Source organism: Homo sapiens, chromosome 11 (assembly GCF_000001405.40).
Source record: "Homo sapiens chromosome 11, GRCh38.p14 Primary Assembly".
Taxonomy (NCBI): domain Eukaryota; kingdom Metazoa; phylum Chordata; class Mammalia; order Primates; family Hominidae; genus Homo; species Homo sapiens.
Window position 1 is genome coordinate 839,633 of NC_000011.10, and position 27,827 is coordinate 867,459.

Genomic DNA, 27,827 nt, shown 5'->3' on the forward strand with positions numbered 1-27,827 from the left:
TGTTTCTCTCTTCTTTTTCATAGTTGTGTTGAGACAGAGTCTTACTCTGTTGCCCAGGCTGGAGTGCAGTGGTGCAAACACAGTTCACTGCAGTGGCAACCTCCCAGGTTCCAGTGATCCTCCTGCCTCAGCCCCGAGTGGCCGGGACTACAGGTGTGAACACTGTGCCCAGCTAATTTATTAAATTTTGTTGTAGAGATGGGGTCTCATTATGATGCCCAGGCGGGTCTTGAATTTCTGGACTCAAGTGATCCTCCTGCCTTGGCCTCCCAAAGTCCTGGGATTATAGGGGTGAGCCCCTTTGCCCGGCCTAAATCTGGCTCTTCAGATTCCGAGAGAGAGGGTACAGGAGCCTCTCTGCTCAGCCTGAAGAACACCCAGAAGGAGGGAACCTCAAAGAGCCCCGAGATGGAAGGCTCTCCTGGCAGCGCCTCCTGCAGGGGTGCCTGTGGAACAGGCTGGCCCCAGGGCTAGGAGAGTTCATGGCCCAGTCTGCTTCACTGGGCTGCCACAGTGTGAAAGCTGGGCCTAGACCTGGCTCCTGACATCCTAGTGAGGGCTGGGACCTTAGTGGTTCTGAAAGACCTTTACTGGATGGTTCCTTCCAGAGTGGGGTATCGGATACACACACACTGCGGCCAGGCATTACGCCAGCTCCCGGATGCCTCAGCCTCGTGAATTCGGGGCAGGACGCTCAGGGCCCATGGTCAGCACAGCGGGTGGGTGGGTTCCAGCGTGGTCACTTCTCCAGGGGTGCATAATTGAGCAGCTTCTCGATCAGGTCCACGTGGGCCAGCAGCATCCGGCGGCAGCAGTAGCGCTTCAGGCCCAGGGCATCCAGCGCATCCCTGTGTCGAGGGGAGGAGCAGAGGCCAACTGAGTTCTCTACGGTCTGCAAAGGCCTGGAGCCCACATCCAACCTGCCTCTCACTGCCTGCTGGCCTCACCCCCCCCGCCACCGGCAAGGCGAACAGATTCACCCGGCTCAGAAGCTGAGATCTAGCAGTATGATCCTGGCTGGAGTAACCTGGAAATGCCCAGAACCCTGGGTGGAGCGTGAGGAGCCTCCTCTCCCACCTACTCTGGCTGTACGTGTGTGTGTATAACGTATGTAAGAAATGTAAATGAAATGAAAACGAAGTAATTGCGGGGAGCTTAGAAAACCAAGACCACCAAGGTGCTGATGTGCAGCCACCTCATCCAGCACTGGCCACGGCAGGGTAGCTCTCCAGGGGCCTGCCCTTAGCTGGTTCACCCCCACCCCAGCCAGAGCAAGCCCTGCTCTGCCGCTGTGGGGTCTTTCCTCACCTCTGCTTCCTTCCATCAGAGAGAGACTGCTTCTCCACGGAGCCACCTCTCCCACTTCCCAAGCCAATTAGAAGCTTTCATTTCCCTGGGACCTAGCTCCAGTCACCCTCAAGACCTCCAGAAAACTCCCACACCGATGGCTCCAATGTGCAGAGACACAGAAGCTTGGGAAAGGGGAGGCCACATGGGAGGCCCCTGCCGTTCCTATCCGGGGAAAGGGTCTGGACAGGCCGCCAGCCACTCAGTCTAGCAGCCCACTCGCTTTCCTCGTTTGTCCAGCAAGCTGCACCAAGTGCCGATGGCAGGCTGGCGCACACAAGCCCAGGGCTTCACATGTGACGAAGACTCAGTGGGCGAGGGTCAGACTCCAGCGGGGGCACCAAGACTCAGGCACCGTGGTGACAGCAGCACCAAGGGACAAGCACAGGAGAAAGACGCCTCCCCTACAAAGCCTGATGAGGGTGGTCAGCAAGTCTACCCTGCATTTCTTTTTCTGTGTGTGTGTGTGCGTGAGACGGAGTTTCACTCTCTCTTCCAGGCTGGAGTGCAGTGGCGTGATCTTGGCTCACTGCAACCTCCACCTGCCTCCCAGACTCAAGCGATTTTCTCGTCTCAGCCTCCCAAGTAGCTGGGACCACAGGTGTGCACCGCCATGTCCGGCGAATTAAAAAGATAGAGCCAGGCGCGGTGGCTCACGCCTGTAACCTCAGCACTTTGGGAGGTCGAGGCGGGTGGATCACCTGAGGTCAGGAGTTCCAGACCAGCCTGGCCAACATGGCGAAATCCCATCTCTACTGAAAATACAAAAATTAGCCGGGCGTGGTGGCACACGCCTGTAGTCCCAGCTACTCGGGAGGCTGAGACAGGAGAATTGCTGGAGCCCAGGAGGCGGGGGTTGCAGTGAGCCGAGATCGCGCCACTGCACTCCAACCTGGGCGACGGAGCGAGACTCCGTCTCAAAAAAGAAAAATAAAATAAAATAAATTTCTGGAGATCAGGGTCTCCCCAGGTTGTCCAGGCTGGTCTCGACCTCCTGGGCTCAAGCAAGCCTCTCGCCTCGGCCTCCCAAACTGCTGGGATTACAGATGTCAGCCGCCGCGCCCGCCCGTCCTGCAGCGAGGTTTGCAGGACATGGGGTGGGCCTGGGGGCAGAGATGGGAATAGGGCGGAGGCCAAGGGCTTTACTGCGGGTGACAAGACGCCTGCGACCCGCCAGGCCACCTAGAATCCCCAGGACACCACTGGTTTGAAGCCCAACTCCGTTCTCTTCCCCAGACTTCAGGGGATAAGGTTCTCCCGAAAGCAGATCACAGAGCGGGGCTGGAGAAGCCGGGCCTGAAGCTGCTCATGGGGCGCTGGCCTCAGGCAGCGCTGCGCCTCCCGCCCCGGCGCGCACCCCAGGGCGGACTCAGCCCCCAGCCCCGGCCCGCGCCCCACGGCGGACTCAGCCCCTAGCCCCGGCCCGCGCCTCACCCCTCGGTGTACTCGGCCTGCAGCAGCCCCAGGTAAGCCTCCCACTTGTTGCCGACGATCTTGCCACAAGTGAAGCAGCGTACAGGGATGATCATGGCGGCGGCGCGTCCCAGACTGCCCGGCCCGGCCCGGCCGCACGCGAAGAACCCCCCCAGGCCCCGCCCCGGGCGCGTCCACTGTTGCGGGAGAATCGGCTCCGCTCGTTCTCCGCTGTTCCGGCCGTCCCTCCACCGGCCCCGCCACCGCTGGCCGCAGTTTCCGCCGCGATAGGGGCTTCCCGTGCGTCCCGGGGCTCCTGGGCCTGTGCGTCCCGGGGCTCCCGGGCCCGCGCGGCCGCGGCAGCAGCAGACCGCACACCCCCGCCCACCGTCTTGGTGCATCCCGGCGCTACGGCGTCTGAGCAGGGCCGTAAAGCTGCGGCGGCGGTTCGCGTTTCTCGTGTCCGCTTGACTGACAGCTGCGCGGCGGGAGCGGGCGGCGCGAGCGGGAGGCGGCGGCGCAGGTACTGCGCCTGGGGGTTGTGGGGGCGTGCGGCCAGGGTCCCGTGGCCGGAGGTGTCCGACCGGGAGCGGCTGGAGCCGGACGCGAGCGGGGCGCGCGAGTTCGAGCCCAGAGCCGACACGCAGCAACAAGTGGGGTCCGGCGCGGGGGCTCGGGGAGAGGGCGGGCGGGGGCCGGGGCGGGTCTTCCTGCCGCCCCTCCTGGCCGCGCCGAGTAGTGGGTTCCTCCGCCTCGGCCTCTGCCCGCGGGGTGTCCGGGGCTCTCGGCGCTGAGTTCGGGGGTCCCATTCTGGACGCGGCCCAGCCCCTAGGGGCGCCGCCCTGGCCTCAGCTGCGCAATTACAGCCCCCGCCGGCAGCTCCCCGCCCCGGGCTCCTGTCCGCGTTCTTTCCGCTCTTTCCCGGGAATGGGGTCGGGGTGCGCCCTCCCGGGTCCCGGCTCTGCTGGCTGCTCGCCGTCCCGAGCTCCCGACGCTCAGACGCGCCTCTGAGCACGGGGAGAGGGGACCCGGGAGGGAGGTCGGGGAGGGAGTCGTGGAAGAGGTGCTTTTTGAGCTGAACCTGGAAGACCCCGGCACAGGGGATCCCTGGGCAGACTCCCGGAGGCTGCACTGGCAGGACCCCCTGAAGGCCTCAGCTCTGGCTTGCCCTGGAGCTCAGGGCCTACGGACGACGAGGGACGAGGAGCCCGTGTCTCTCGGATGGAGTGCGGGGGGGCTGGCACCAGCACCCTTCTTGCTGTGCCCCTGGGGTGGGGGTGAGGAAATGGGGGGTCGGTGTGCAGTGAGAGGCAAAGAAGGCTCCTTGGAGGTGCGAGGTGGGCTGTGGGGGTGGGTGGGCCGCAAAGCGGCACCCATGGGGGGCTCTGGGCTGGTTTGCCGGCCTGGGGCTTCTGGCTGGGGTGGGACCTGTGTTGGGTTCCAGGCATCAGCTGCCGCTTTCTCAGGGCAATGCTGCGTCTGCCTTAGTTGCAGAGGAGGAGGACGAAGGGTTTTCTGGGTCCGGAGTGGTGCTAGCCAGATCCACTGCACGCTTGGGGTTTCCGCTCCCACCCTGGCCAGGGCCCTGGGCAGCTTCCCCAGTGGCATTTGCCATACCCCACCCAGCCACGTGCGGAGCCACGAGCCGAGGCCACTTCCCTTCCCTGACCCCCTCCCCCCAGGATGAGTGGACGCACATCCTGCTCTGGGCAGAAGGGCAGGACAGGGGCCCTGAGTAACGGTGGCCTGGGGTCAGAGCCAGGTTCAGCTGCGAGGCTGCTGGTGGCTGTGGAGGTGAGGGGGGCAGGGGGGTCCCGGATGTTAGCAGGGTGGGCCCTGGGGAGTGGGTGGGGGCCTGGAGGCTTCTTGGAGGAGGGTCCAGGGCCTGTCCCGCCCCTGTTCCTGCCTGCAGGAGTTGTTTACTCAGAGCAAGGGGTGGTGGGGAGTGAGCTGCTCTCCAAATCCTGGCTTGGGCCAAGCTGACATTCTTGGAATTCCGAGTGTGTGCGCTTCCTATCCCTCCATTTCCCAGCAGAGCCCCTGAGATCTGGAGACTGCCCCAGCCTCAGGCTCTGTGCATCTCCCCCGAGCCCCCACCACATATGTGCGGAGGCCCCTGGGGGCCCAGGCCTGTCCTCAGTCCCGACTGGGCTCTACCTGAGGACCCTGGGGAGCCTGGGCCTGGCCCTCCTCAGGCAAGCGGGGGTGGGAGGGAGCCTGGTGGCGGGGCAGGGCACTGTGCCCGCCAGCAGGGGCGGGTGGGGGCCCCTCTCTCCTGGGTGTGGAGTGTTGGCGCAGACTCGGCCTGGCTTCTGGGGGGGGGGGTCTGGGATGGGGCCAGGAGGGTGAGGCGCTGGTTTTATAGAAGGGGGCGTTGTGGAGCCTCCTGTGGTCAGGGCAGGGCACAGGGAGCAGAGGGTGGGCTCCCCCGGCTGCTTCCTGCTAGAGGAGGGATCACTTCAGGGCAAAGGACCAGGGGAAACCCATGATTGAAGTTTTAGCTGCTGACCCCTCCCACCCTGGGTGTTGCCCTGGAAACAGGCCAGCCACGGGACCAGGAGGGCTGGGAGGGGGAGCACGGGCTGAGCCCTGGCTGGGATTCAGCTGAACTTGCACTCTGGTCTGGGATCCCAGCCCACGTTTCCCTGTCTGTAAAGCTCAGGTGGGATCAGAAACTGCCCGCCCGGAGGGCTGCATCCCTCCTGCCGCTGAGGCTGGGCATGACCTTGACTGGGAGAGGGTGTTGAAGGTGTCTGTCCCCAGCCTCGCCCCCACACCTGTGCTCTCTGGCCCTGTCCATGCCTGGGACAGATGTGTGCTCACCCCCAGGGTGCTGTGGGATGGGGTGGGTGCACACGGCGCCACGAGCACACGTGCCCGACACCTCAGCGGTGCACACAGCCAAGGCCACTGCCCACCGTACCCACGCCGTCCGTGTCCTCTCTACGGTCCTGGGAGACTGGCGTTGTGAGCAGTGGGGCCTGTAGATGGGGCCGGGTCCTCTCTACGGTCCTGGGAGACCGGCGCTGTGAGCGGTGGGGCCTGTAGATGGGGCCGAGACTGAACTGACCCTAGCCTCACCACTCATATGTCGGGGCTGGTGATATTTGGGAATGTCACTGCCTGCCATGCAGCTGCCCAGGCCTGATGTGCCCCCCCAGACTGTTCTATAGGGGTCTAGGTTGCAGGGGCCAGGGCCAGGGCTGTGGTGGGATGGCACCTGAGGTGCGGCTGCTCCTGGAGCCTGGGGGGTGTGGGAAGGTGCCCCCCACCCAGGGTCCTAAGTCTGTTGCCTTCACCCCCGACTCCCAGCAGATAAATACCCAACAGTGCAGGAAAGGATTACAGGGAAGGCCTGGAGTGTGGGGTTAGCCTCGGTGGTCCCAGGAGGAAAGACTGGGGGACCTCTGGACTATCTGTCCCTCCCCTGGGGCTGCTGGGGGTATCAGAGTGGTGTCTCCAGCCTCCAGGGCTCAGGTTTGGGTGGGAGGGGCCTGGTCCCACCCAGACTCTGTATGTAGCCCCCAGTCCCTGCTCCTCTGTGTGCATGAGGGAGTGCCAGCTTGCTTGGGACCCCCCAGGGTGAGGGCTTGGGACGGGCACTGGGGCCCCGCAGGGGCTGAGGCAGCCAGGAAGCCCACAGCATAGGCTGTTTGTGTTGGCGGGCCTCCCTACCTCCTCAAAGCTGCCTCAGAGCCCGTGGGCCTGGGGGGCCAGGGTGTGTGGGCTTGGCTCTGCTGTCTGTCCTGAGCTGCCCCTGCTGAGCTGTGTGGAGACCCCGAGGTCTGGGCTGGGCCAGGACTGAGCTGCTGCCCTGCTGCTGGGGCTCAGAGAGGCTGCTCCACGGGCATGGCACCCAGGCTGCTGCAGACAGGCTGCTTTATCATGTGGGCAGGCCCCTCTTTGGGTTGGACCTCCGTCTGGCCTTGTGGGTGTCTGAGATCTCCTTGCAGCTCAGTCCCCAGGGCTTTTCCAACCTGCAGAGCTCTGGATGTCTCTTTTGGGGCTCTCGCTCAGCCAGGGTTGGGGTGGAGGCTCTATGGTTCCCTCCTGCCCTTGGGCTACTGGAAGGACAGTTACCTCACTCCAGAGAGCTAGTTCTGAGGGGCGAGGTGTTGCGGGGTTGAGCCAGCAGGGCAGGGAGTAGTGGGCACTGCGTTTGGCTGCCCAGGTGGGTTTGGGGCCTCTCCCTGGCCAGAAATCCCTGAGTGCCAGGAGGAGGACAGACTCCCCAGCCTGGCACCCATGGTGGAGGAGGGCCTTGCGGGTCATTGCTGGCAGCTCCATAGGGAGGGCGTGAGGCCCCTTCCTGAGCCTGGGTGTCTGCTCAGAGCCCAAGGCAGGGTGGGGTAGGGGTGCTTGTGCCTGGTAGGAAGCAGACAGCAGGCTGGTCCAGGGGTCCAGGACCCCAGGGAGGAGGCACTGCTGCGTGTCTGTGTGGGTGCAAGCATGTGTCTTGGCCTGTGTCTCTGCATGTCCGTGCTGTGAGTACGTCTTTGAACATGTGTTCTCTGCACACCGTGTCTCTGTGAGTGTGAGTCTGTGTCCCTGCCTGGCTGTCTCAGAGCCCTGAAGGAGCAGAATTTGGTGACTCAGTCATTGATTCAGAGCTTTCCTGGTTGGGGCTACTCCTCAGTGGTCTTCTTCTCCGAGTCTGGTGGTGTATCCCCTGCCCACCCCGACTGCCCCTCTGCCCTGTAGGGACCTGGCCCCAGGTGGGGGTTCCCTGCCCTTCTCTGGGAGCATCTCTGGCTGTACAGCTGAGGGTGGAAGCCAGGGCTCCACTCTGCCCATCTTTCCTTTTGCAGAGCTTGGGGCTTCCTTGGTCGCACCCACCACCTGCCTGCCCACTGGTCAGCCTTCAGGGACCCTGAGCACCGCCTGGTCTCTTTCCTGTGGCCAGCCCAGGTATGTCAGGGCCCGGCTGGGCTGGATGGTTGTGGTGGGCAGCAGTGGGCTTGCCTCTGGGTCTCACTTTGCCAGCCCAGGGGCCTTGCCAGCGGACACTTTGACACCACACCTGAGTATCTAATTGGAGCTCCCGTGGGGAGGGGCTGGACTTTGGAGACAGGGTCCCAGAACACCCCGACTGGGGTGTTGAAGGACCCTCCCCGACTGAGCTCTGACACTGTGCCTTGCCCGGGCCCCTGACTGCGTCTGGGCAACCCAGTGTGAATCTTGAACTTGGCAACAGAAGCAAGCCCAGCTCCCCGCCCCCACCCCCCCCCAACCCCGCTCCTCCTGACCCTCGGTGGCCTTGTGAGGTTTTTGATTTCTTCTTGAATAGGCTTCATCTGCTCACCTGGGCGATGTGTGCAGAGCTTTGTAGATGGGAAAGGGGGTGGGAGGGGTCTTAGGGGACACTGGGACTGCATCCTGGGCGCTGGGCTCAGTGCAGGCACCCAGACCAGCTCTCCCTTCGCCCTCCCACCCGCCTGGGACCCTCGAGCCTTGCCTGCCACTTCCCCTTCCACCCCCAGCCACAGAGGGACGCAGGGGAGATGGGGCAGGGGTGCCACTGGCTAGCCTGGCGGCGGATGCTCTCCTTGGGGTGGCTCGGGTGGTGTTTTTGACTGCAGGTGGGGTCTGGCTTCTCCCAGTCAGCCTGGGGTCCTCCCGGGTCCCCGTGGCACCTGCCCTTGCCTGGCCCACGAGTAGGTGCTCTGAGCGCTGCCCAGGTCACATGTGAGCTCCCTGGAGGCGCTGCACACGGCTGAGTGTCTGCCCTCAGGTTGCACCTGCGTGGCCAGGGGAAGGGGGCCGGGCGCCATCTGCTCTCTGGGCAGAGCTGCGGGTGAGGGTTTCTGTCAGGGTTGGGGTCCCAGGGCTCCTGGGGTCTCTGCTGGGCCCCGATGCGTGGCCGCCGTTCTGACCCATTCCTGGGGCCCAGACCCACCAAAGAACCCCCAGGGGAAGGACAGGGTAGGGGCCATGGGAAGCCCCAGGATGGCCTTGTGGGCCTTCAGGGGACCTCCAGGCCAGCCTCCTGTTCTCTGGGGGCCCCCTGTCCCCTTCCCCCAGCGAGGACCTGGGCATGGGGTGCTGCCCTGGGGCTTGGGCTGCAGTTCTCTACAGAGCCCTTGGGGGGCAGCAGAGGCTTGGGGCACCCAGCCCAGGTCGTCAGGGGTGGGCAGAGCTGCGGGACCTCCCTGGGCACCCGGGGCTTCCACGGCAGCCCTCCCCAGACCTGCCACCTCCCACATCAGTCACTCCAGGAGGACCCAGGCCTCCAGAGCTGGTCAGCCCTGCCATGGAGCACCCCCTTCCCCTCCCTTAGCTTCCTCTCCCTCCTCTTCCTCCTGCCCTTCCTCATTCCCCACCTCTGGGCTTCAGGTCATCTGCCAGGAATCTGGGCCACGTGCTGATATCTTCCCAACACCGCAGGGCCCTTGTGCCCTGTGGTGGGGCTGGGGCTTCAGAGGCGTGGGGTAGGCTGCAGGGCACAGCTGGGGGCCTCTGTCCCCATCTCCGGCTGTGGGAGGTGTGTGCGCATCCGGCGTGATGACACCCAGGAGTGCAGGCACATCTGCGCACGGGGCCGGTATGTCTGTACCTGTCAAGGGGTGGGGTGGGGTCTTTTACAGGCTGACTTCCAGCCTGGGCTGGAGCAAAATGAAATTCTGGGCCCCTTGTTTAAAAATTACCAAGAATTTCAAGACGGGAACAGCAGAGCATCAAGCCAGCTGGGGTGGGTGCGCGCGACTGCCCTTGAAGCCGGCCCCGCTCCCGCATTGGGGACAGCACGGGGCGGAGGCCGAGCCGGGCCCACCTGGAGCGCTCTGGGTCTGTCCTGGGGCTGCCAGCCTCCTGCGGGGCTGCCTGGTGGAGGGGGGGTGGGTATCTCAGGAATCACACCTGCGCTTTTCTGTGTTCTGGAACCTCCCATATAGTCAAAGACTCAACGACACCTGCTCCATGCAGTGCAGGCTGACCCAGCCCCCCACCCGCCGCCGGCACTCAGGGCTTCCCCAAGGGCGCCCGGGGCGGAGCCGCTTCAAGTTGCCACCAGACAGCAACGGGGTCACCCTCCATTTGCGTAGTGCTTTGAGTATCGTTCTCGTGGTTGGAGGTCTCCAAGCCCGGCCCGGGGCCAGAGTCCGGGCGAGGTACCGTGGGGGGAAGGGCTGGGGGTGTCGGTCGCGGGCTAAGAGCTGCCCAGGTTTCATCCCCAGGCCCCGGCCCCGGCCTCCAGTCCCCTCAGGCGCCCTTCGCGAGCATCTTCCTCCCGCGCGCGAAGGTGGGGGGGCTGGGGCGCCGGCGCGGGCGAAGGGGCCGGGGTCGCGGCTGGTGCGTTGCCGGGGGCTGCGATTGGTCCGCCCAGGCGGAGCGCTGGGGTTTGCCGGGCGGTGCGGCGAGGAGGGGAGGGGTCCGCGCGGGGGCGGAGCCGCCGGGGATTGGCCGGGAGGGCGCGGGGCGGGGCGCGCGGGGTCGGGGGCGCGGGGGCCGCAGCGCGCGGGCCGGGCAGATGTTTGGGTTCCGCCGCCGGGGTCCGAGCGGATCCGCGCGACCCGCTGCCACCGCGGGGGCCAGAGCGGGAGCAGGAGCGGGGCCGGAGCAGGCGCCGGCCGGCGGGATGGGGCGTTCCGGGGCGGCGGGTGCGGGGCGCTGAGCGGCGGCCCCGGCACACCCGGGCGCGATGCGCCGCTCCAGCACGGACGAGTCCACGTACCGGCGCAGCCCCTCTCCGGAGGGCAAGGAGCCGGACTTCGCGCGCGGCGGCCCCTTCCGGCGCTACAGCAGCCTATACGGGCGCGCGGGCGGCGGGGACGCCGGGGGCTCCTTCTTCGGCCTGCACGCGAACCCCGGCCCCAAGGCGGCCCAGGCGCGCTACACGTCGCCCAAGGGCAACAAGTACGTGGTTTTCTACCTGGACCTCTCCTTCATCTTCCTCCTAGAACTGAAGCGCTGCGGCATGGCGCGCGCCTGCCTCCAGGCCGTCAAGTACCTCATGTTCGCCTTCAACCTGCTCTTCTGGGTGAGTCCGGGGGCCGGGGTGGGGGCCCGGGAAAGACCCGGGGTCCCTCCCGCGGCGGGTCGCGGGGTCTGGGGAGTCGGAGTCGCTGCCCCGGCCAGGCGTTGGGTGCGGTTGTGGGGATGGTCCCGGGAGGACCCAAGACCGCTGCTCCGGCTAGGAGCCTGGACTGGGCGGGTGGGGAAGGTTTGCACCATCGCGGGGTCCGCCCCCTGCACTCAGAGCGGCTGCCCCACGCCCTGGTCCCCTCTCCTCTCCTCTCCTCTCCTCACTTGATGAGACGGGACACGTTGCACACGTGCGCGCCGGACAGGGCCACCCGGGCACTGCGCCTCTCCTAGGGTCGGGGTTCGAGTCCGGGTCGTGGCCAGTTTTGCGCGGGGCCCCGGTGCCTCCTCTGCGCCCGCTCCCTCCTCGGTGCAGCCGTTATCCTTGCCTCGGCCCCGCCCCTCCAGGCAGGCGACCTGTCGGGCCCAGGGACTCACTTCCGAGGGTTTGAGCCGGCTGCCGCCAAGGTCCCCCAGTCGCCGGGAGGCGCTGCGGAAGGGAATCCTGGACACTGAGCAGGGCCGTGGGCCATCAGTGTTCGCGGGAGACACTGGCTTTCCCGCGCCTCCGGCAGCAGAGGCTTCCCTAACTTTTGCGGAGGTGGGGTCAGGTGTGCTCAGACCTGCAGTGGTGTCCGGGGGGGCCCTGTGTGCTGGATGGAGCAGAGCTGAGGTAGAGGGCGGACAGGGTTCCACCCCACCCCAGCCCCATGTCAGCAAGAGGTGGGGCAGGATTCCCACCTGGCCAGGTTGGAGCAAGCCTCATGGAGCCGCGACCCTGTCCTGTCCCTGGCTCCTGTGGAGGGCAGCTGCAGTTGGGGGTGGCCGAGGATGACCTGGACCGGGCCTGGGGCTTTGCTGGCTGGGCTGGGGGAGGTGAAGTGATACCAAGGTCATTCTGTGCCCTATTCTTAATTCCTGAACCAGCTCCTGCAGCTGGGAGTCGGGGGTGTGGCCTCAGCTCCTGCCTAGGCTCTGGGCTTCAGAAGGAGGCTGTCCATCTGCATAAGGTCCAGCTGGGCCAAGTGCCCAGAAGCCTGGGTCTGCCTTCCCACCTCTCCCCTCCTGAGCCCAGGCTCCTTCTCTAGCCAGCTTGGGGTGGAGGCAGGGGGGTCCCTGGGAGGGACAGCCAGCCTGGGTTGCCTGCTGAGTGTGACCCAAGGAGGCTCTTGGCCCAGACATCCACCTCCAGAAGGGGTCACCCAAGGGTTTGTTTTCTGCAAGAGGCTCTGGAGGGGTGAGGCCCAGGCCTGAGGGGCGCCTTGGAGGTAGGGGTGGTGGGAGGTGTGGGTGTGGTCTGGAGCTGGTGGGTGTGGGGGGTGGGCTGCAGGTGGCTGAGTGACCAGAGTGTTTCTGTGACGGGGGGACGGGGCAGAATGACTGAAGGGCAGTGGGTGTGGGGGCCCGGCAGGCAGGCAGGCAGGTCCTGGGAGGGGAAGCCCTCTCTCCTCTCCACCCTCCTCCTGTCCTCCGTGGCCTGGACACCTGCCTTCAGGGAGAAAGAAGAGGGTCCTTTCCCAGGGGGGGTCTCTCTGCTCTGAGAGCAGCCCGCCCTCATGGAGGACCCCCAGGTGGACCTCTCTTTGCTCTGTGAACCCCAGAGAAGCCTCCATTCCTACCGCATGGCAGACACACTCCCCCATCCTCAACCTGGGAAAGAACACACAAGGAACCCCCTTGGGACCCTATTCTGGGCTGGAAAATGCAATTCTCTCTTTTTTATCTTTGTTTTTTGAGATAGAGTCTTGCTCTGTCGCCTGGAGTGCAGTGGCGTGATCTTGGCTCACTGCAACCTTCCATCTCTGGGGTTCAAGCGATTCTCATGCCTCAGCTTCCCGAATTGCTGGGATTACAGGCGCGCATCACCACGCCTGTCTAATTTTTGTATTTTTAGTAGAGACAGGGTTTCACCATGTTGGTCAGGTTGGTCTCGAACTCCTGACCTCGTGATCCGCCTGCCTCGACCTCCCAAAGTGCTGGGATTACAGGCGGCCCCAATTATTTTTTATTAATCAATCACCACCTTCCCGCCAGTCCAGCAAACTGGAGCCCCGCTGGCTTCATACACCAGCCTTGGCCCCCCCCAACCCTGGGCTGGTGCCCAGTGGGGGTCTAAGGGTGGGGGCGGGGCAGGGGAAATAAGAATGAGTGGGGGTTTTGCCAGGAGAGTCTGTCCCGGGCTGATGTCCACGCCTGCTGTGCCCTGAGTCACTGTGAGCTAAGCCCTCTCCTCCTGGCGTGAGGCTATTTCAGGAGTCAGGCCTAGCGCTCCCCTTCCCCAGGGCTCCTTTCCTTTTGGGGGTGCCAGCCCCCTGTTGTCGGGGCTTTTGCCGCCCACTCCATTTCCTACTCGTTGGGAGACCAGGGGATACAACCTGGCCTCCTCCTCCTCCTCCTCCGTCTTCTCAGGGGCGAAGTTCAGGGGTTAAGGTGGTGGGAGGGACGTCCCCCCGGCGGGACCTCAAGATCCCCGCGTGTGTCTGTCCTGACCCCCCGCTGCCGGAGTCCTGCTGGGCCTGTGGGGAGGGCATGGGGGAGCCCCAGTGGGCAGCCAGTGACCAGAGCCGTGGGCAGTGGTGGGAGCCGGGGTGGGGTGAGGAAAGTTGTGTGTGACTGGGGGGCTGTGCCCGTCCTGGGTGTGGCTGTGGGTGTGGGGGCAGGGGCTGAGCCCTGTAAGTGGTACAGGTGCGGCCAGGGCACTGGGAGGGGTTGGGGGGCTGGGAGTGGGGTCCCATGCCTGGCTCGTGTGCGGTGGTCAGGGTGCAGCTTCCCTCTGCCCCCAGCTTGCCTGGCTGCCCCTTAGCTTTGCTCTCCTGTGCCCTTAACCCCAGCCTGGCACCCCTCTCTCCCACCTTTGCCTCCATGTTCTCCTCAAAGCCCCCCTTCTTCCAAATGCAGACCCTCCAAGGCCCTCACAGTACTCCTGGCTTCCAAGGTCTCTTTGGGTCCAGGCCTGAGCCCCCCTCCACACCCATGGTCAGGCTAGGGCCCCTGGTCACTGACGGCCTGGGGCAGCCTGGGGGCCTACCTGGGAGGGGAAGGGAGGGGCTCGCTCCAGAAGGCTGATTGACGTATTTCTTTACAGCGTTGGTTCGGATTTCCCAGGCAGGCATCTTTGCTGGGGTCTGGGAGGGTGGGGCTGCTGGCAAGAGTCTGTGCTCAGAGCCTCCAGCTTTGGGTGGAGTGGGGAGGGTTCCTGGGGCAGCCAGGGTGGGGAGGTAGGATGTGTCCTGGCCTGGTGGTGGGGGACCCGGTGGGGCCTTCAGAGTTCAGAGCACTGGTGCCAACTCCTAACCCCATGGACATCTGGGGACATGCTACCTGCCTTCAGCAAATAGAGGCCCTCACCCGGTGATGGCAGCTCCGCTGGGGCACAGCCACTGAGCCTTCCTTTGAGCCCTCCCTGCAGAGGTTGGGGAGTGGGAAGCAGGCTGCCTGTGGTGGGGCCGGGGTGTCTCCTGGGAGCCTCATTCCGGGGGAGGCTGGGTGCAGGGCCCGTGAGCCTGAGCGAGGTGTCCTGGTCCAAGGCAGGTGCCGACACAGACACAGGTTAGCAATGGTGAGGGCGTGGGGGGCTCTGCTGCCCTGGGACCCCCACCTTCAGGCCTCTGTGCTGCCTGGTCAGCTCAGCTGCTGCCAGCGACACTCTTCCCCTAATGGAAGTGGAGGTCCCGGGGCGGAGGGGAGAGGACGGGGCCTGCTCTTCCCGCCTGTCAGGGATGGAGGCAGCCGAGCTATTTAGCAAGGTGCCACCACGAAGGGCTGTCCTCCCGCCCTCCTGGCCTCGGCTCCTTCCAGACGCTGCTCCCCAGGGTGGGTGCTGCTCCCCTTTCTCTTCACCCGCAGCACCAGGAGCTTGGTGGAAGCTCCGGCCGTCTCCGCACTGTATGGTTAGGGCCTGGCTGGGGGACCGGGTGGGGGTTGGAGTCCCACCTGCCAGTGCGGGACGCCGGGCAGGTTCTGCCCTCCTTGAGGCCTCATTTTCCCATCTGCACCATGTGGGGCGGTAGAGGGTGAGGTCCCCATATACTGGCCTGGCTCGGGGGTTGAATGGAAATGTGGGAGGCCTCTCAGTTCCCCACCACCTGCGCTGATCCCCGGGGAGACCCCCCAGGTGGGCAGTGTGAGTCTCGGAGCCAGGTGGTCCAGGGCCCCAGCCTGGAGGGGCACGGGGGCTGTCCTGGCTCTGCGCTGCCTGGGCTGTCAACCCTGGAGGTGTGGGGGCCCCTCAGCCTCACTGCCCACTCTCTGTTGTTCCAAAGGAAAGTCCTGGCTGCGCTTGAGGCCTCTGCTCTAAGATCAGCAGTGAGCCTGGTGGAGGGGGTGCAGTGGGGGCCAGCCTTGGCTTCCCCTCCCCTGGGATGAGCTGAGACGATGTCTGGCAGATGGCATGGCCGGCCTGCCTGGCGCTGGCCTCTGGGCAGCACAGTGTCCCCAAGGGTGGCAGAGGGCTCTGCCTTCAGCTCCCAGGCCTCTCTTTGAGGAGTTTAACATCCCAGGCCAGCCTTTGGATCAATTGTTCGGAAACAATCCGTTTCTGAACAAAGGCCCTGACGCTGGCAACCACAGCGTGTCTGAGCCTTGGGGAGTGTGTGGCTCCCTGTGGGTGGGGAGCAGCAGCGGTCGGTCGGGGGACACTGCCTACCCAGCTGTGGGCTCCAGGCAGCTCTGGTGCTGTTGGGGGTAGGTCAGACTTGTCCACCCAGTGACACAGGCCTGGCTCCACGGGGCCTCTGCAGGTTCCAGGTCCCAGCTGGCGGCAGGGCAGGCAGGCCGGGCCTCTGTGTGGAGAGGGCTGTCTCTGGGGGCAGAGATGTGGCATTGGCAGCCCAGGGCTGCAGGGGGCAGGCAGAGAAGTCAGGAGGCCCACGCAGGGGGACGGGAGTGAGCGTGGGGGACCTGGGCTTCCAGCCGCGCTTGTGCGATGTGAGCCGTGGTCCTGGCCTGATGACGGCAGGCCACCTCCTTGCTGTTCCCACGCAGCCCTGCTGCACCCACAGCCCCGCTGGGTCACAGTCTCCTCCTGGATTCCTGTGCCTCCAGCAAACTCCTACCCACCCTGCAGGAGCCAGCATTGGCACCCTGGGCAGGTGCCCACTGACGAGGGCTGTTCTGCTCTCCCTGCTTTGGACACTGGCCTCAGGGTGGGCCTTGGTCACTGGGTGGGGCTGGTCTCCTCATCTCTGGGCCCTGGGGTCCCTTGGAGAGCTCCTAGGGTCAGGGGTGAGGGAACGGAGGACAGATGGGGATGTGGAAACAGGACGTCGCTCAGGGCCCACAGCTTTAAGGAAACAAATCACAGCGAGCCACACAGATTGTAAGTGGACAGACTTGTCATCCCTGGAAACCAGCATCCCAGCCATGACGGGGACGTTCCCGCCAGCCCAGAGGGTCCTGAGGCTGTGCTGGCTGCTAGCATCCCTGTGTCTGGACAGAGCCCTGGCCCCTGCAGGGACCCAGCCCCCCATCCTATTCCAAGGACGTGGCTGGCAGCCCAGCCATCTGCCACAAAGCCGCATGGCCAGAGGGGCAGTGGGCTGAGGGCTGAGAGCTGGCCAGCGTGGCCCCCGTGGGCCCGGAGGGAGCATACTCGATGGACTCCAGTGACTGCACCCCTGCCCAAGGCCTACAGGAGGCTCAAGGGGGCCGTCCCGCAGCACCTGCCCAAGAGGCTCAGGTGGGCTGTCCAGACTGGAAAAGAAGGGCAGAGCAGAGAATGCATGGGCCTCAGCAGCACCTGCACACGCCCAGCGCTGGGGGACGGCCCCCCGAGCCTCTTGGGTGGGTGCTGAGGGACGGCCCTCCAAGCCTTTTGGGCTCCTAATCTTGGGCAGAGCCATCAGTTGCTGCTGAAGATCAGGGTGAGCGAGTGTCTGATGGACTGAGCCTGGGGCCTGGTATGCTGGACGGACATTGGCCAGAGATGGTCTCACGCAGGTCCTGGGGACAGGTTCTGGGCAGTGGACAGTGTGAGCTGATGTCTGGGAGAAGGACAGGCCCCAGGCACCGCTGACTGGAGGTGAAGAGGTCTGGGACGGAGCCCCTCTCCTGGGCTGTTCCCCCAGCTGCCATCATTCCTAGGGTTCCTCTCCCCAGCTGTCATGGGGCGGGGTCAACCTCCCACCTGAGCTTGTGTCTGGCCTGCGGCGGGGCAGCAGTGAGGGAGGGAGGCTTTCAGCCTATTCCTATTTGTATTGAGCGTGTGGGGAGGGAGCTCCTCTGGTTTCCGGGTCCAGGCCCAGATGCTGGGTGGGACCCTGGGAGGGTGCGCAGGCTGCCAGCCACACCCCTAGCTGCTCCCCATCTGGCTGCATTTGACCAGAGGGACCTGGCCCTCCTGGCCTCAGCCCTGCTCATCCTGCTTTTGATTTTCTGTCTCCAAGCTAATGGGGCCCATTTTCTCTTGCGCTTTGAGGCTATAATTTTCCTGCCAAAATGTTTTAAAAGCTGCATATGCAGAAACACTTTCAAAATTGCAGGTAATTTTATTAACCACGTGCACGCATTTTATCTGTGTGGGTCTGCCAGCACGCTGGGGCCTCGGGGCCCGGGGGACGCCAGGTTGCAGGGCGGTAACGCGCGCGTGTGGCCACGTGTGATGGTGTGAGGCGTCTGTGGCAACGTGGGCTGTTGTCTGTCACAGTGTGTGTGACCGAGCCCGTCTGGTGACAGTGGGTGTCTCTTTCCTGCCGTCTCCGGTGGAGGTGAGGATGTTTCGTGGAGTGTTAATTAGGGAAATCAGTTCCCACCAGGGCTGGGGCAGTTGTGGGAGGGGCCCAGGGCTGGAGGTGTAGGGTTCCTTCCTGCCCAGCCCCCATGGAACGGGGTTTCCCACACCTGGCATGGCACCAGTCACTCTGCACATGTCCTCCCTGTGTCCTTCGACACATCCCCATGGGGCGAGGGGAGCTTGGAACAGCTCATTTTCCTGATGACAGGAGAGGTCTGCGTCCTTGGAAGGCAGAGGCAGATGGAGCAGGCAGTTTGGGTTTTTTTTTTTTTTTTTTTTGAGACGGAGTCTCACTCTGTCGCCCAGGCTGGAGTGCAGTGGCATGATGTCTGCTCACTGCAAGCTCCGCCTCCTGGGTTCACGCCATTCTCCTGCCTCAGCCTCCTGAGTAGCTGCGACTACAGGTGCCTGCCACCACGCCCAGCTAATTTTTTGTATTTTTTAGTAGAGACGGGGTTTCCCCGTGTTAGCCAGGATGGTCTCCATCTCCTGACCTCGTGATCTGCCCGCCTCGGCCTTCCAAAGTGCTGGGATTACAGGTGTGAGCCACCACGCCCGGCCCCAGTTTGGGTTTTAAATGACAGTTTTCTCTGTTGTGCTAGCACCTCCCCTCAGTTCAGGGACCTTCACCCCCAGCCTGGGCATTTCGTCTGGAATGAGACTTGTGGGGTTGCTTGGCGCTTGAGGCCAGGATGTACTCTGAGCTGCTGATGGCCATCTCCTCTCCTGGGGCCTCGTTTCCCTCTGACCTCCTGCCCTCATCACCTGGTGATCTGGACCCAGGGCCATATCCCTTCTCTGCCCAGTTCTTGGGGCAGTGATGGTGTCAGGCCGTTTGTGGGTCCCCCTGGTGCCCTGTCTGCCCCTCCACAAGACCTGGGAACTGCGGGAGGATATGGGGACAGCCCAGGGGCAGGCTGGGGTTCCTGTGTGCTCGGGAATGCCCCTCAGTTCCGCATGGCCTTGTCTGTACATGGTGTGTGTGACCTTGTGCCCGACGGTCTGGAGGGACCATTGAGTGGGCCATTGCCTGTCCAGGCCTCTCCTGTGCTCCAGAATGTTACGAGGGACACCTCTCCAAAGGGGTGGGTGGGGGCGCCGCGTTCACAGTCAGCACCCTGGACAGCCCATCCCCCAGCTGCTGGTGCATCCCATAGCAGGGCCAGGTCCCCCGGGAAGTGGGGGCATCTTTGTAGAGCTGGCAGACCCCTGCCCACCCTGGGGCTGTGCCCCAAGCCCAGTGCTCCCAGTGAGGACAGATTCTCTTAATTAGGGATGTCCCCTGGCACTTCTGCCACGGAGCTGGCCTCTGGTCCTGCACACTCCAGACACATCCACCCTGGCTCACACACACCCTGGCTCACATGCACCCCGGATCCCACCCCCGCTGACACTCACCCCGGTTCCCATGCACCCCAGGCTCACATGCACTCCCGGCTCACACGCACCCCTGCTCACACGCACTTCGGCTCACACGCACTCCGGCCCACACGCACCCCGCTCACACACCCTGCTCACCCAGTTCCCACGCACCCCAGGCTCCCACGGACCTCCGCTCACATGCACCCCGGTTCCCACACACCCCAGGCTCCCATGCACCTGGCTCACATTCACGCCCGCTCACACGCACCCCGGCTCACATGCACCCCCGCTTGCATGCACCTCGCCTCCCACCCCCGCTCACACGCACCCCCGGCTCGCATCCTGGGCTCCCATGCACCCCCGGCTCCCATGCACCCCTGGGTCACACGCATCCCCGCTCACACGCACCCCAGCTCTCACGCACCCCCGGGCTCACACCCCCAACAGCTTGCACCCCCGGCACACATGCACCCCGGCTCACACGCACCCCTGGGTCACACGCATCCCCGCTCACATGCACCCCAGCTCTCACGCACCCCCGGGCTCACACCAACAGCTTGCACCCCCGGCACACATGCACCCCGGCTCACACGCACCCCCGGGCTCACACGTGCCCTGGCTCACACGCACCCCTGGGCTCACATGCACCCCGGCTCACACGCACCCCAGGTCACACGCATCCCCTCACATGCACCCAGGCTCACACACCCACCCCCAGCCCACACTCATCCCCGCTCACACACACCCCCACTCACACACACCCTGGCCCACACGCACCTTGGCTCACGTGCACCCCGGCTCACACGCACCCCCCCTTTCACACGCACCCCGGGCTCACACGCACCCCGGGCTCACACGCACCCCCCCTTTCACACGCACCCCGGGCTCACATGCACCCCGGCTCACACGCACCCCCTCTCACACGCACCCCGGCTCACACGCACCCCCCTCACACGCACCCCGGGCTCACACGCACCCCGGGCTCACACGCACCCCGGGCTCACACGCACCCCCTCTTACACGCACCCCGGGCCCACATGCACTCCGGCTCACACACACCCTCACTCATGCACCCCGGGCCCACACGCACCCCAGCTCCCATGTACCCCTGCTCACATGCACCCCAGCTCCCATGCATCCCGGGCTCACACACAACTTGACTCACACGTCTCAGGTTCATGCATCCGTCCCCTGGTGCGTCTCCGGGCCGCCCTCCACCGGGCTGTGCTGGCTGCCACCCCCAAGCCTCTTCCTGGTCTCCTGGGAAGCCTCCCCTATCACCCTAAGCTGCTTCTGGGGCTGGCTTTGCTCAGAAGCCACACCCAGGCTGGGCACTGTGCCCAGGTCTCCTATTGGCTCCCTGCAGCCACGAGGGGCTGTGTGGTCAGAGCCAGCAAGTCAGCCCCTGCCTCGGTACTCCCAATCCTGGGGCCCAGAGCACAGGGGTGACCCCTCTTCCTGCACCCAGTCTGTCCAGCTCCCCTGTGCGCTGTGCCTGGCCTGCTGGGGAGGGGCTCTGGGCGTGGGTGTCAGAGCTCAGCAGGCACCAGGAGCCAATGGCTCAGCAGAGCTTCCCAAGATAGGTCCTGCGCTGGCAGCCTCCGGACAGCGTTCTGTTTTGAACTTTAAGCGGAGATGCTACCTCTGGAAGGCCGGGGAAGGACAGAGCCTGCCTTCTCCCCAGGATGGCCTGAGCGTGTGTGGGACTTGTGGGGCCCCAGCAGTGGGGGGAATCTGCTCTGAGGGGATTTTACCCTGTGGAGCCCAGAGGGACCGAAGACACCAGTGACAGGCCTGGCCTGAATCTTGGGGCACCAGCAGCCATGCTGGCCCTTGGGCAGGGAGCTGTGTCCCATCTCCCCAGCACAGCCTCCTGCCTGCCAGCCAGCCAGTAAAAGGGTGGCGGCCTCCAACCTCCAGCCTGGCGCTGGCTGATGCACTGCTCAGGGAGGGGCAGGTGAGCGTGCACACGAGGAGGGGGCATCTCCCACCCCCAGGCCCCCTGAGGCAAGAGTGTTGGGGCTCATGGGCCCTCCGTGGGCCCTGCCAGGGTGGAGGCCCCAGGCCTGTCTTGAGCTGGGCTGGTGTTGCAGGTGGGGGTGGGGCGGCTGCTGGTGGCCAGCAGCTATCCCAGCCTTGGTTTCTGTCTGGAAAGTGGGGTGTGAGTCTGGCCACTGGGGCTTGGGAGGCTTTTATGGGGTGACTTGGGGCTTCTGGTAGTCCCCCGGGAACCCCCAGAGCCTGGGGTCTGAGCCTGTCCTCAGGCATGTGGTCTGGGTGCTCCAAGGGGTTTCATCAGGTTGAGGGGTGGCTTTGCCAGCCCATTCCCAAGTCCTGTCCAGTCCAGGGTGGGGCAGGGATCCCCCAGGGCTGCGCGGCCCTTCCCCAGAACCAGTCAACCGTCGGCACCCCAGGACGTCTACCCACCACCCACCTGGGCACCCACGCTGCAGACCGGGAGCTGGTCAGCATTTTCGGGGGACTGCTTGTCCCGTGCCCAGGCCTGGAACATATCTCCCGTCTCATCCTGAAACGGCCCAAGCCCGAGGCCTCTGTCTGAAGGTGGGGTCCTGGCGGACCCCTGCTTCCCTTGAGGCCTTGCTGGGCCAGCAGCCTAGCACCCTCTCTCTGGGCGCAGCACCCCCTCGTCTCCCCCTGCCTCTTCCTGTTTTAATTGATTTTTATAAGAACAAGCACTTAGGAAACACAGTAAGAGCTCTGGCGGTTACAGACACTGCAGGAGGTGGCCCTCCGGGTGGCAGGTGCTCCTGTGGGACCCGCCTGCTTTGTTCCCACCAGTGCCCATGTGGCTGTAAGAAATCATAACTTGGCCGGGCGCGGTGGCTCATGCCTGTAATCTCAGCACTTTGGGAGGCCGAGACGGGCTGATCATGAGGTCAGGAGATTGAGATCAAGACCATCCTGGCGGCTGGGCGTGGTGGCTCACGCCTGGAATCCCAGCACTTTGGGAGGTCGAGGTGGGTGGATCACGAGGTTGGGAGATCAAGACCATCCTGGCTAACACGGTGAAACCCTGTCTCTACTAAAAGTACAAAAAATTAGCTGGGCGTGGTGGCGGGCGCCTGTAGTCCCAGCTACTCGGGAGGCTGAGGCAGGAGAATGGCGTGAACCCGGGAGGCGGAGGTTGCAGTGAGCCGAGATCGCGCCACTGCACTCCAGCCTGGGTGACAGTGCGAGACTCGGTATCAAAAAAAAAACAAAAAAGACTATTGTGGCTAAACCATCTCTACTAAAAATACAAAAAATTAACCGGGTGTGGTGGGGGCATGCCTGTAATCCCAGCTACTTGGGAGGCTGAGGCAGGAGAATCACTTGAACCTGGGAGGCGGAGGAGGTTGCAGTGAGCCCAGATGGTGCCACTGCACTCCAGCCTGAGCAACAGGGTGAGACTCCATCTCCAAAAAAAGAAAAAAAGAAAGAAATCATAACCAGGAGCAGAGTGTGAGGGAATCAGCGTTTCTCCTGCCACGAGTGACAGGGGACAGCTGGGGACATCACAGAGATCTTGTCGGGAGCTGGGAATCGGAATCCTGGGACCACCTGCCAGGAAGCCCCATCCCGGAGTGAGGGCAGGGCTGGGTCTCCCTGACAGCACAGTCTGGAAAGGCTGGAGTGGCCTGTCAGGTGGGGAGTGAGCCTTCTGCCCTGCGCAGACCAGACGGTGAAGCGGGGTTAGGGGTGTGCAGACTGCGTCCTGGGGCCTAAGATCCCGTCCCTTTGGCTCCAGGCCAGGGGTTGGGCGGATCCCTCCTAGAGGGAGTGGTTCAGAGGCACAAGGGAGCCTCCCCGACTGTGGCCATGGAGTGTGGGTTTGGGGATGGGGTGCCAGCCCAGGGTGTCGGGAAAGACTGGCCTGCCCTGGACACCCCCCCGGGCTGCCGTGGGATCTAGCAGGACTCTGGGTGGTTCTGGCTCAGGCTGGCAGGCGGCATGGCTTTGGGCTTGTGGGCCGGGCTCTGCCCTGGGGTCCAGAGCTTGCATTGGGGCCTCACCCTGTCTGTGTCTCTCCTGTTGCTGTGCCCCAGCTGGGAGGCTGTGGCGTGCTGGGTGTCGGCATCTGGCTGGCCGCCACACAGGGGAGCTTCGCCACGCTGTCCTCTTCCTTCCCGTCCCTGTCGGCTGCCAACTTGCTCATCATCACCGGCGCCTTTGTCATGGCCATCGGCTTCGTGGGCTGCCTGGGTGCCATCAAGGAGAACAAGTGCCTCCTGCTCACTGTGAGTGCCGGGGCCCAAGCGATGCTCCGGGTGGGACCACGCAGGGTGGGGCTCCGGTGGCCCCCAGGCCTTGGCTGCCGCAGTGACCCCCCAGACGTGGGCACCACCTCTGGGGCCGGACCTCCAGGCTGGCAGTGTGGCCCGGGGCCCTGGCCACTGTTGGGTCTTCCAGGCCACACTGGGGCTGGGGGGTGATTTGCAGAGCGGTGTGGGGGTCACTCAAGAGAACGTGCTGTACCTTGTCAGGGGCCTCCCCTGACGGGACACTGGCCCTGGTGAGTGCAGGCACAGCCCCGCACACACGTACACACGCATGCGCAGCCTTTCACGGGCTTGCGGTCTCCGTGACTCATTCCTGACCACCCCACCCCCACTGTGGCCCCTTCCCCAGCTTCTTGTTGGGGGCCTGGTCTCTCAGCTCCCTGGGACCGGCTGCTGGGACGATCCCAGCCCCCACCTCGCCTCGGGGATGGACTTACAGGCAGGGATATGTTTATCCTCCTTAGAAATGTTAATCACAGATAATTAAAAAGGAAAAGGGCTCCTAGATGGAAACACAGGCTTGCTACTGATTAACATGCCTGGCCGAGGCCGTGGGCCCTGCGGAGGGTGTGCAGCCTGCTGAGGTCCTAAATCACGAGGCTTCCGATCACTCCTTTGTCTGGGAAGCCCTGGATGGGTTGGGGCCTCCCTTAGGTCGCCTCAGCCAGTCCACTCCCCTCCGTACCCCTTCCTGGGGGCAAGCCCCAAGTCTATCAGCCTCCCTGGCATCAGGTTGGGGCCCAGAGACCCCTGGAGGCAGTCGGTGGGGGTCTGTGGCAGCCCTACTGGGGCTTGGAGCTCCTCAGTTGAGGAAGCTGCTGTGTGTGGGCCCCACCAGGCCTGCAGGGACCGAAGCCCAACCCCCTTTCCCATGGGTGACTTGGGACCAGAACCCTGGGTACCTCCTGGGGGTGAAGGACTCCTGTGTCCTTAGCCCAGCACCCTGTCTGCCCCACTCACGCCCACTCTGCCTGGGCCCCCCAGCTCCTGGACACATGCTGTCCATGCCTGCCCTCCTCTTTTGTGGGTGTCACTGACCCCCGCATGGAGGAGCAGCAGGGCTGGGGTCAGGCTGAGCTTTGGGGCTGCCGCCAGGCGGGGGAAGCTTGCATGGTCAGAGGTGGGGCTTGCAGCCTGTGGTCTTGCTGGAGGGGGCATCAGCCACGCTGGCTGCCCTGAGGACTGTGACGTGTGGGCAGAAGGGGCCTCTGCAGCCCAGCTGTGGCCCCTGCTGGGACATCTTCCCACCATGAAGACAGGCACCCAGCGAGGCACCTGCCAGACACTCAGAGGCCCCTGGATGGAGGTGTCCTGAAGGCAGCTGACAGGGGCTGGGGCCTCAGGAACAGGGATTTGTGCCCACTTGGGGGTGTCTGGGTTGCCCCAGGGATGGGGGCAGGGGAGGGGAGCCCAGGCCAGCCCAGGGCCCCACACTCAGGGGCTGAGCAGGACACAACAGCCACAGTCCCTGGACCTGGGGCCAAGGGTTCTGAGGTGGGGGCGGCGTTCTGGGCTCTCTGGGAGTGGGGGCCTGGCAGAGGTTTCCTGGCAGCACCAGGTATCCATGAGGTACGTGGCCCTGGCCCCTGGCATGCTGTGGGGCGGAGGCTGTGCGGCCTTTCGGGTCCCTGTCTGAGCCTGCCCCCTCCACAGTTCTTCCTGCTGCTGCTGCTGGTGTTCCTGCTGGAGGCCACCATCGCCATCCTCTTCTTCGCCTACACGGACAAGGTACGGCTGCCTTGGCCGCAGGCCCAACTGCAGGGCTGGGGGCTCCATCCTCACTCCCAGGGAGCACTGTGGGCCCGGTGTGGACAGAGTGGCCCTGCATGTGCCCTCACGGGCAGCCAGGACAGCGGGTGTGGATTTACCAGGCCTGGAGGGGCAGCGCCAGCGACCCTGGGAGGCTGTGCTGTGGCTCTATAGCGACTGGGGCACAAGGGCACTGCTACCCCACCCGGAGGGTGCGCCCCAGGTTGTCCCCCGCCCTCTGACGCAGCGTCCTGAGCCGTCTGCTCCCAGCGCCCCATCCGGGCCGCGCACCGTGGGGTTCTCCTCTGTAGAGCGGCCTCTTCTTGGTCACTCACTCATATATTCAGCCATTTGTTTATACTGGGATGAAGTCCTGGCTATTGAGGTTGCACTCCGAGCTAGAACACACTACTTTGTTTTGTGAATCACACTGTCCGTCCTTGGCCCTGGGGAGCTTCTGCCGTCTGCTGCTGGGTCCCCTGACGTGCCCCCATCAACAGACTTTTCATTTTGGGGCACGTCCTGACTTCCTGGCACTGCAGGGCGCTCCAGGCTCCTTCATTCCCTGCCCTGGCCCAGGAATCAGCCCCTTCTCCAGGGTGCTCTGGGTCCTCACTGAATATTGGGGACCGAGGCCAGGGTGCTGGGTGGGCTCAGCGCTCATAGCCCCTGGCTTTCAGCTCACAGAGCATGGCTGCACGTGTCCCGATACGTGGAGGCACCTGTGTCCCTGTCCTCTGTCCCCCCAGGACCCATGGTCCTCCCCCAGCCTGGGGAGGAAGCCCAGAGGTGGGGGCCCTGGGCCTCAGGGCTGCTGGGAGGACATGGGGCCGGTGTGTCTGCAGCTTGGTGGGCTAGGAGGCGCGGGGGACACAAGACCAGGCGCAGGAGGGGCCCAGCTTAGGGGCCGGCGAGGGGGTCTGGATGAGGGAGGCGGGGTACAGTGGGAGGGGCCCTGCTGACCCCCCCCGCACCCCCAGATTGACAGGTATGCCCAGCAAGACCTGAAGAAAGGCTTGCACCTGTACGGCACGCAGGGCAACGTGGGCCTCACCAACGCCTGGAGCATCATCCAGACCGACGTGAGGCGTGGGCAGGTGGGCGGGGTCGGCGGGTGCCCCCTCCCCTCCTGCCTCAGCCCGACCTGAGCTTGCCCCCCAGTTCCGCTGCTGTGGCGTCTCCAACTACACTGACTGGTTCGAGGTGTACAACGCCACGCGGGTACCTGACTCCTGCTGCTTGGAGTTCAGTGAGAGCTGTGGGCTGCACGCCCCCGGCACCTGGTGGAAGGCGGTGAGTGAGACCCCCACCCTGGGGGCTGGTAGGGGCCTAGAGGGCGGGACCAGCAGGCCCTGCCGTGACACGCATGACATCCCTCCCTGCAGCCGTGCTACGAGACGGTGAAGGTGTGGCTTCAGGAGAACCTGCTGGCTGTGGGCATCTTTGGGCTGTGCACGGCGCTGGTGCAGGTATGGCCTGGGGGCCTGCGGGCTCCCTGCCCCCACTTTGTTAGGACCTTCTGAGCCCAGGGAACAAAGTAGCAAAGACCTTGCCCCCAGGAACCCACGATCGGGGGAGGCCGGGGCAAAAGCAGGAGGGCGAGTTCAGGGGGATGGGCAGGGACGGCCTGTGGGGACAGTGGGCTCCCTCTTAGTGGACAGAGGCAGAGGCTGGTGTGGGGTGGAGGCCGGTGGTCGTCCATGTTGGTCGGTGGCCCAGGACTGGCCAGTGCACAGAGGGTGGCAGCTGGGGCCCTGGTGCCAGTGGCCCCTGGTTTCCAAACTCCACAGCCCTCAGGAAGTTCTGGGTGTCCTCATGCCTGCAAGGCTCAGGGGAGGGTGCTGTGGCTCGAGCCACAGGGGTTGGGTGGGGCGTGCAAGCCACCAGGAAGCTGAAGGGCTCTGCCACTGTGTCGCCCACCCTGGGGTCGGGGTCAGGGCCAGGGCACCTGCTGAGGACAGGGACTGCTCTGGGCTTGAGGCCTGAGCCTGTGGAGCTGCCATGCCCAGTCCTCCTCCCCTACCTACAGATCCTGGGCCTGACCTTCGCCATGACCATGTACTGCCAAGTGGTCAAGGCAGACACCTACTGCGCGTAGGCCGCCCACCGCCCGCTTCTCTGCCAAAAGGACGCCCACGGGGAGATGGCCGCACCCACAGCTGCCTTTCCCACCACCAGCCTCGGTGCTCTGCCCCATGCTGGGAGGAGGGAGGGAGGGACAGGTGCCTGGAGCCCCCGGAACCCTGTTTCTGGAAGGCCCTAGCTCAGGTGGCTTCAGGGCCTCCGGACCCCCCCTGGGAGGGGTGGCCACGTGCTGGCTGCGGAACCCAGGGCAGGGGTGGGAGGGGCCTCCAGCACTTTTTATATTTACGTATTCTCCAAAGCAGTGTTCACACGGGAGCCAGCCTGTGGCCCCCAGCCTCCTGGAAAACAGGTTGGCGCTGGAGGAGCCGGGTCTTGGCATCCTGGAGGTGGCCCCACTGGTCCTGGTGCTCCAGGCGGGGCCGTGGACCCCTCACCTACATTCCATAGTGGGCCCGTGGGGCTCCTGGTGCATCTTAATAAAGTGTGAGCAGCAACCTTGCGTCTATTGCTCGTCTGCCTTCCCTACCCTATCTTCCCTTCTGGCACCCAGGCCTGGGGCAGGGCAGCCTCTGGCATGAACGGTGCTTAGGCAGAGCCCTGGGGCTGTGGGGTCACCTGGTGCACAGGCTTGGGGGAGCTGCCTGCAGAGCAGTCTCCAGACCTCTGGTTTTAAGGAAATCATGACATTAGCTCTAAGAAGTGATGAGGCCGGGTGCAGTGACTCACACCTGTAATCCCTTCGGCTTTGGGAGGCCAAAGTGGGTGGATAACCTGAGGTCAGGAGTTTGAGACCAGCCTGGCCAACATGGTGAAACCCTGTCTCTACTAAAAATAAAAAATTA

The 27,827-nt window shown here is 64.4% G+C and overlaps 2 protein-coding genes across 15 annotated transcripts, besides 17 other annotated features; one reads left to right on the top strand and one right to left on the bottom strand.

Annotated features, from left to right (window-relative positions):
* On the bottom strand, positions 89-2,897 carry POLR2L (RNA polymerase II, I and III subunit L). The gene is made up of 2 exons (NM_021128.5): positions 2,782-2,897; positions 89-848 (listed from the first exon to the last, which is right to left on the bottom strand). Exons 1-2 carry the CDS (start codon positions 2,874-2,876, stop codon positions 740-742), a joined length of 204 nt encoding a protein of 67 aa, NP_066951.1. The 5' UTR covers positions 2,877-2,897; the 3' UTR covers positions 89-739.
* Positions 381-430: a silencer, noted in NCBI's record as "silent region_3042". NCBI's record gives its function as "represses an Ori minimal core promoter by ATAC-STARR-seq in GM12878 lymphoblastoid cells {active_cell/tissue: GM12878}" and the evidence as "EXISTENCE:reporter gene assay evidence [ECO:0000049][PMID:35858748]".
* Positions 1,156-1,900: an enhancer, noted in NCBI's record as "H3K4me1 hESC enhancer chr11:840788-841532 (GRCh37/hg19 assembly coordinates)". NCBI's record gives its function as "activates a minimal SCP1, AML or CMV promoter by ChIP-STARR-seq in naive and primed H9 embryonic stem cells {active_cell/tissue: H9 hESC(naive and primed)}" and the evidence as "EXISTENCE:reporter gene assay evidence [ECO:0000049][PMID:30033119]".
* Positions 1,901-2,646: an enhancer, noted in NCBI's record as "H3K27ac-H3K4me1 hESC enhancer chr11:841533-842278 (GRCh37/hg19 assembly coordinates)". NCBI's record gives its function as "activates a minimal SCP1, AML or CMV promoter by ChIP-STARR-seq in primed H9 embryonic stem cells {active_cell/tissue: H9 hESC(primed)}" and the evidence as "EXISTENCE:reporter gene assay evidence [ECO:0000049][PMID:30033119]".
* Positions 2,647-3,390: an enhancer, noted in NCBI's record as "H3K27ac hESC enhancer chr11:842279-843022 (GRCh37/hg19 assembly coordinates)". NCBI's record gives its function as "activates a minimal SCP1, AML or CMV promoter by ChIP-STARR-seq in primed H9 embryonic stem cells {active_cell/tissue: H9 hESC(primed)}" and the evidence as "EXISTENCE:reporter gene assay evidence [ECO:0000049][PMID:30033119]".
* Positions 2,659-3,288: a silencer, noted in NCBI's record as "silent region_3043". NCBI's record gives its function as "represses an Ori minimal core promoter by ATAC-STARR-seq in GM12878 lymphoblastoid cells {active_cell/tissue: GM12878}" and the evidence as "EXISTENCE:reporter gene assay evidence [ECO:0000049][PMID:35858748]".
* Positions 3,220-27,479, top strand: TSPAN4 (tetraspanin 4). Of its 14 annotated transcripts, none has more exons than NM_003271.5 (9): positions 3,220-3,283; positions 7,569-7,668; positions 10,656-10,735; positions 22,918-23,109; positions 24,805-24,879; positions 25,881-25,982; positions 26,062-26,193; positions 26,286-26,369; positions 26,930-27,479. In NM_003271.5, exons 3-9 carry the CDS (start codon positions 10,673-10,675, stop codon positions 26,996-26,998), a joined length of 717 nt encoding a protein of 238 aa, NP_003262.1. In that variant the 5' UTR covers positions 3,220-3,283; positions 7,569-7,668; positions 10,656-10,672; the 3' UTR covers positions 26,999-27,479. The 14 variants fall into 14 exon arrangements, with proteins under 14 accessions (NP_003262.1, NP_001425966.1, NP_001425964.1 ...); NM_001025236.2 differs by lacking the exon at positions 3,220-3,283 and adding an exon at positions 3,309-3,418; NM_001025235.2 differs by lacking the exon at positions 3,220-3,283 and adding an exon at positions 3,309-3,413.
* Positions 3,399-3,488: a silencer, noted in NCBI's record as "silent region_3044". NCBI's record gives its function as "represses an Ori minimal core promoter by ATAC-STARR-seq in GM12878 lymphoblastoid cells {active_cell/tissue: GM12878}" and the evidence as "EXISTENCE:reporter gene assay evidence [ECO:0000049][PMID:35858748]".
* Positions 3,509-3,738: a silencer, noted in NCBI's record as "silent region_3045". NCBI's record gives its function as "represses an Ori minimal core promoter by ATAC-STARR-seq in GM12878 lymphoblastoid cells {active_cell/tissue: GM12878}" and the evidence as "EXISTENCE:reporter gene assay evidence [ECO:0000049][PMID:35858748]".
* Positions 3,724-3,892: a silencer, noted in NCBI's record as "fragment chr11:843356-843524 (GRCh37/hg19 assembly coordinates)". NCBI's record gives its function as "represses an EF-1alpha promoter that drives an FKBP-Casp9 reporter gene in an ReSE screen in K562 erythroleukemia cells {active_cell/tissue: K562}" and the evidence as "EXISTENCE:reporter gene assay evidence [ECO:0000049][PMID:32094911]".
* Positions 8,825-8,954: a silencer, noted in NCBI's record as "silent region_3046". NCBI's record gives its function as "represses an Ori minimal core promoter by ATAC-STARR-seq in GM12878 lymphoblastoid cells {active_cell/tissue: GM12878}" and the evidence as "EXISTENCE:reporter gene assay evidence [ECO:0000049][PMID:35858748]".
* Positions 9,731-9,790: a silencer, noted in NCBI's record as "silent region_3047". NCBI's record gives its function as "represses an Ori minimal core promoter by ATAC-STARR-seq in GM12878 lymphoblastoid cells {active_cell/tissue: GM12878}" and the evidence as "EXISTENCE:reporter gene assay evidence [ECO:0000049][PMID:35858748]".
* Positions 14,875-15,388: an enhancer, noted in NCBI's record as "H3K4me1 hESC enhancer chr11:854507-855020 (GRCh37/hg19 assembly coordinates)". NCBI's record gives its function as "activates a minimal SCP1, AML or CMV promoter by ChIP-STARR-seq in primed H9 embryonic stem cells {active_cell/tissue: H9 hESC(primed)}" and the evidence as "EXISTENCE:reporter gene assay evidence [ECO:0000049][PMID:30033119]".
* Positions 19,293-19,826: an enhancer, noted in NCBI's record as "H3K27ac-H3K4me1 hESC enhancer chr11:858925-859458 (GRCh37/hg19 assembly coordinates)". NCBI's record gives its function as "activates a minimal SCP1, AML or CMV promoter by ChIP-STARR-seq in primed H9 embryonic stem cells {active_cell/tissue: H9 hESC(primed)}" and the evidence as "EXISTENCE:reporter gene assay evidence [ECO:0000049][PMID:30033119]".
* Positions 19,827-20,360: an enhancer, noted in NCBI's record as "H3K27ac-H3K4me1 hESC enhancer chr11:859459-859992 (GRCh37/hg19 assembly coordinates)". NCBI's record gives its function as "activates a minimal SCP1, AML or CMV promoter by ChIP-STARR-seq in naive H9 embryonic stem cells {active_cell/tissue: H9 hESC(naive)}" and the evidence as "EXISTENCE:reporter gene assay evidence [ECO:0000049][PMID:30033119]".
* Positions 20,361-20,893: an enhancer, noted in NCBI's record as "H3K27ac-H3K4me1 hESC enhancer chr11:859993-860525 (GRCh37/hg19 assembly coordinates)". NCBI's record gives its function as "activates a minimal SCP1, AML or CMV promoter by ChIP-STARR-seq in naive H9 embryonic stem cells {active_cell/tissue: H9 hESC(naive)}" and the evidence as "EXISTENCE:reporter gene assay evidence [ECO:0000049][PMID:30033119]".
* Positions 20,894-21,428: an enhancer, noted in NCBI's record as "H3K4me1 hESC enhancer chr11:860526-861060 (GRCh37/hg19 assembly coordinates)". NCBI's record gives its function as "activates a minimal SCP1, AML or CMV promoter by ChIP-STARR-seq in naive H9 embryonic stem cells {active_cell/tissue: H9 hESC(naive)}" and the evidence as "EXISTENCE:reporter gene assay evidence [ECO:0000049][PMID:30033119]".
* Positions 24,097-24,630: an enhancer, noted in NCBI's record as "H3K27ac-H3K4me1 hESC enhancer chr11:863729-864262 (GRCh37/hg19 assembly coordinates)". NCBI's record gives its function as "activates a minimal SCP1, AML or CMV promoter by ChIP-STARR-seq in naive H9 embryonic stem cells {active_cell/tissue: H9 hESC(naive)}" and the evidence as "EXISTENCE:reporter gene assay evidence [ECO:0000049][PMID:30033119]".
* Positions 26,231-26,764: an enhancer, noted in NCBI's record as "H3K27ac-H3K4me1 hESC enhancer chr11:865863-866396 (GRCh37/hg19 assembly coordinates)". NCBI's record gives its function as "activates a minimal SCP1, AML or CMV promoter by ChIP-STARR-seq in naive H9 embryonic stem cells {active_cell/tissue: H9 hESC(naive)}" and the evidence as "EXISTENCE:reporter gene assay evidence [ECO:0000049][PMID:30033119]".
* Positions 27,480-27,827: the final 348 nt, after the last annotated feature.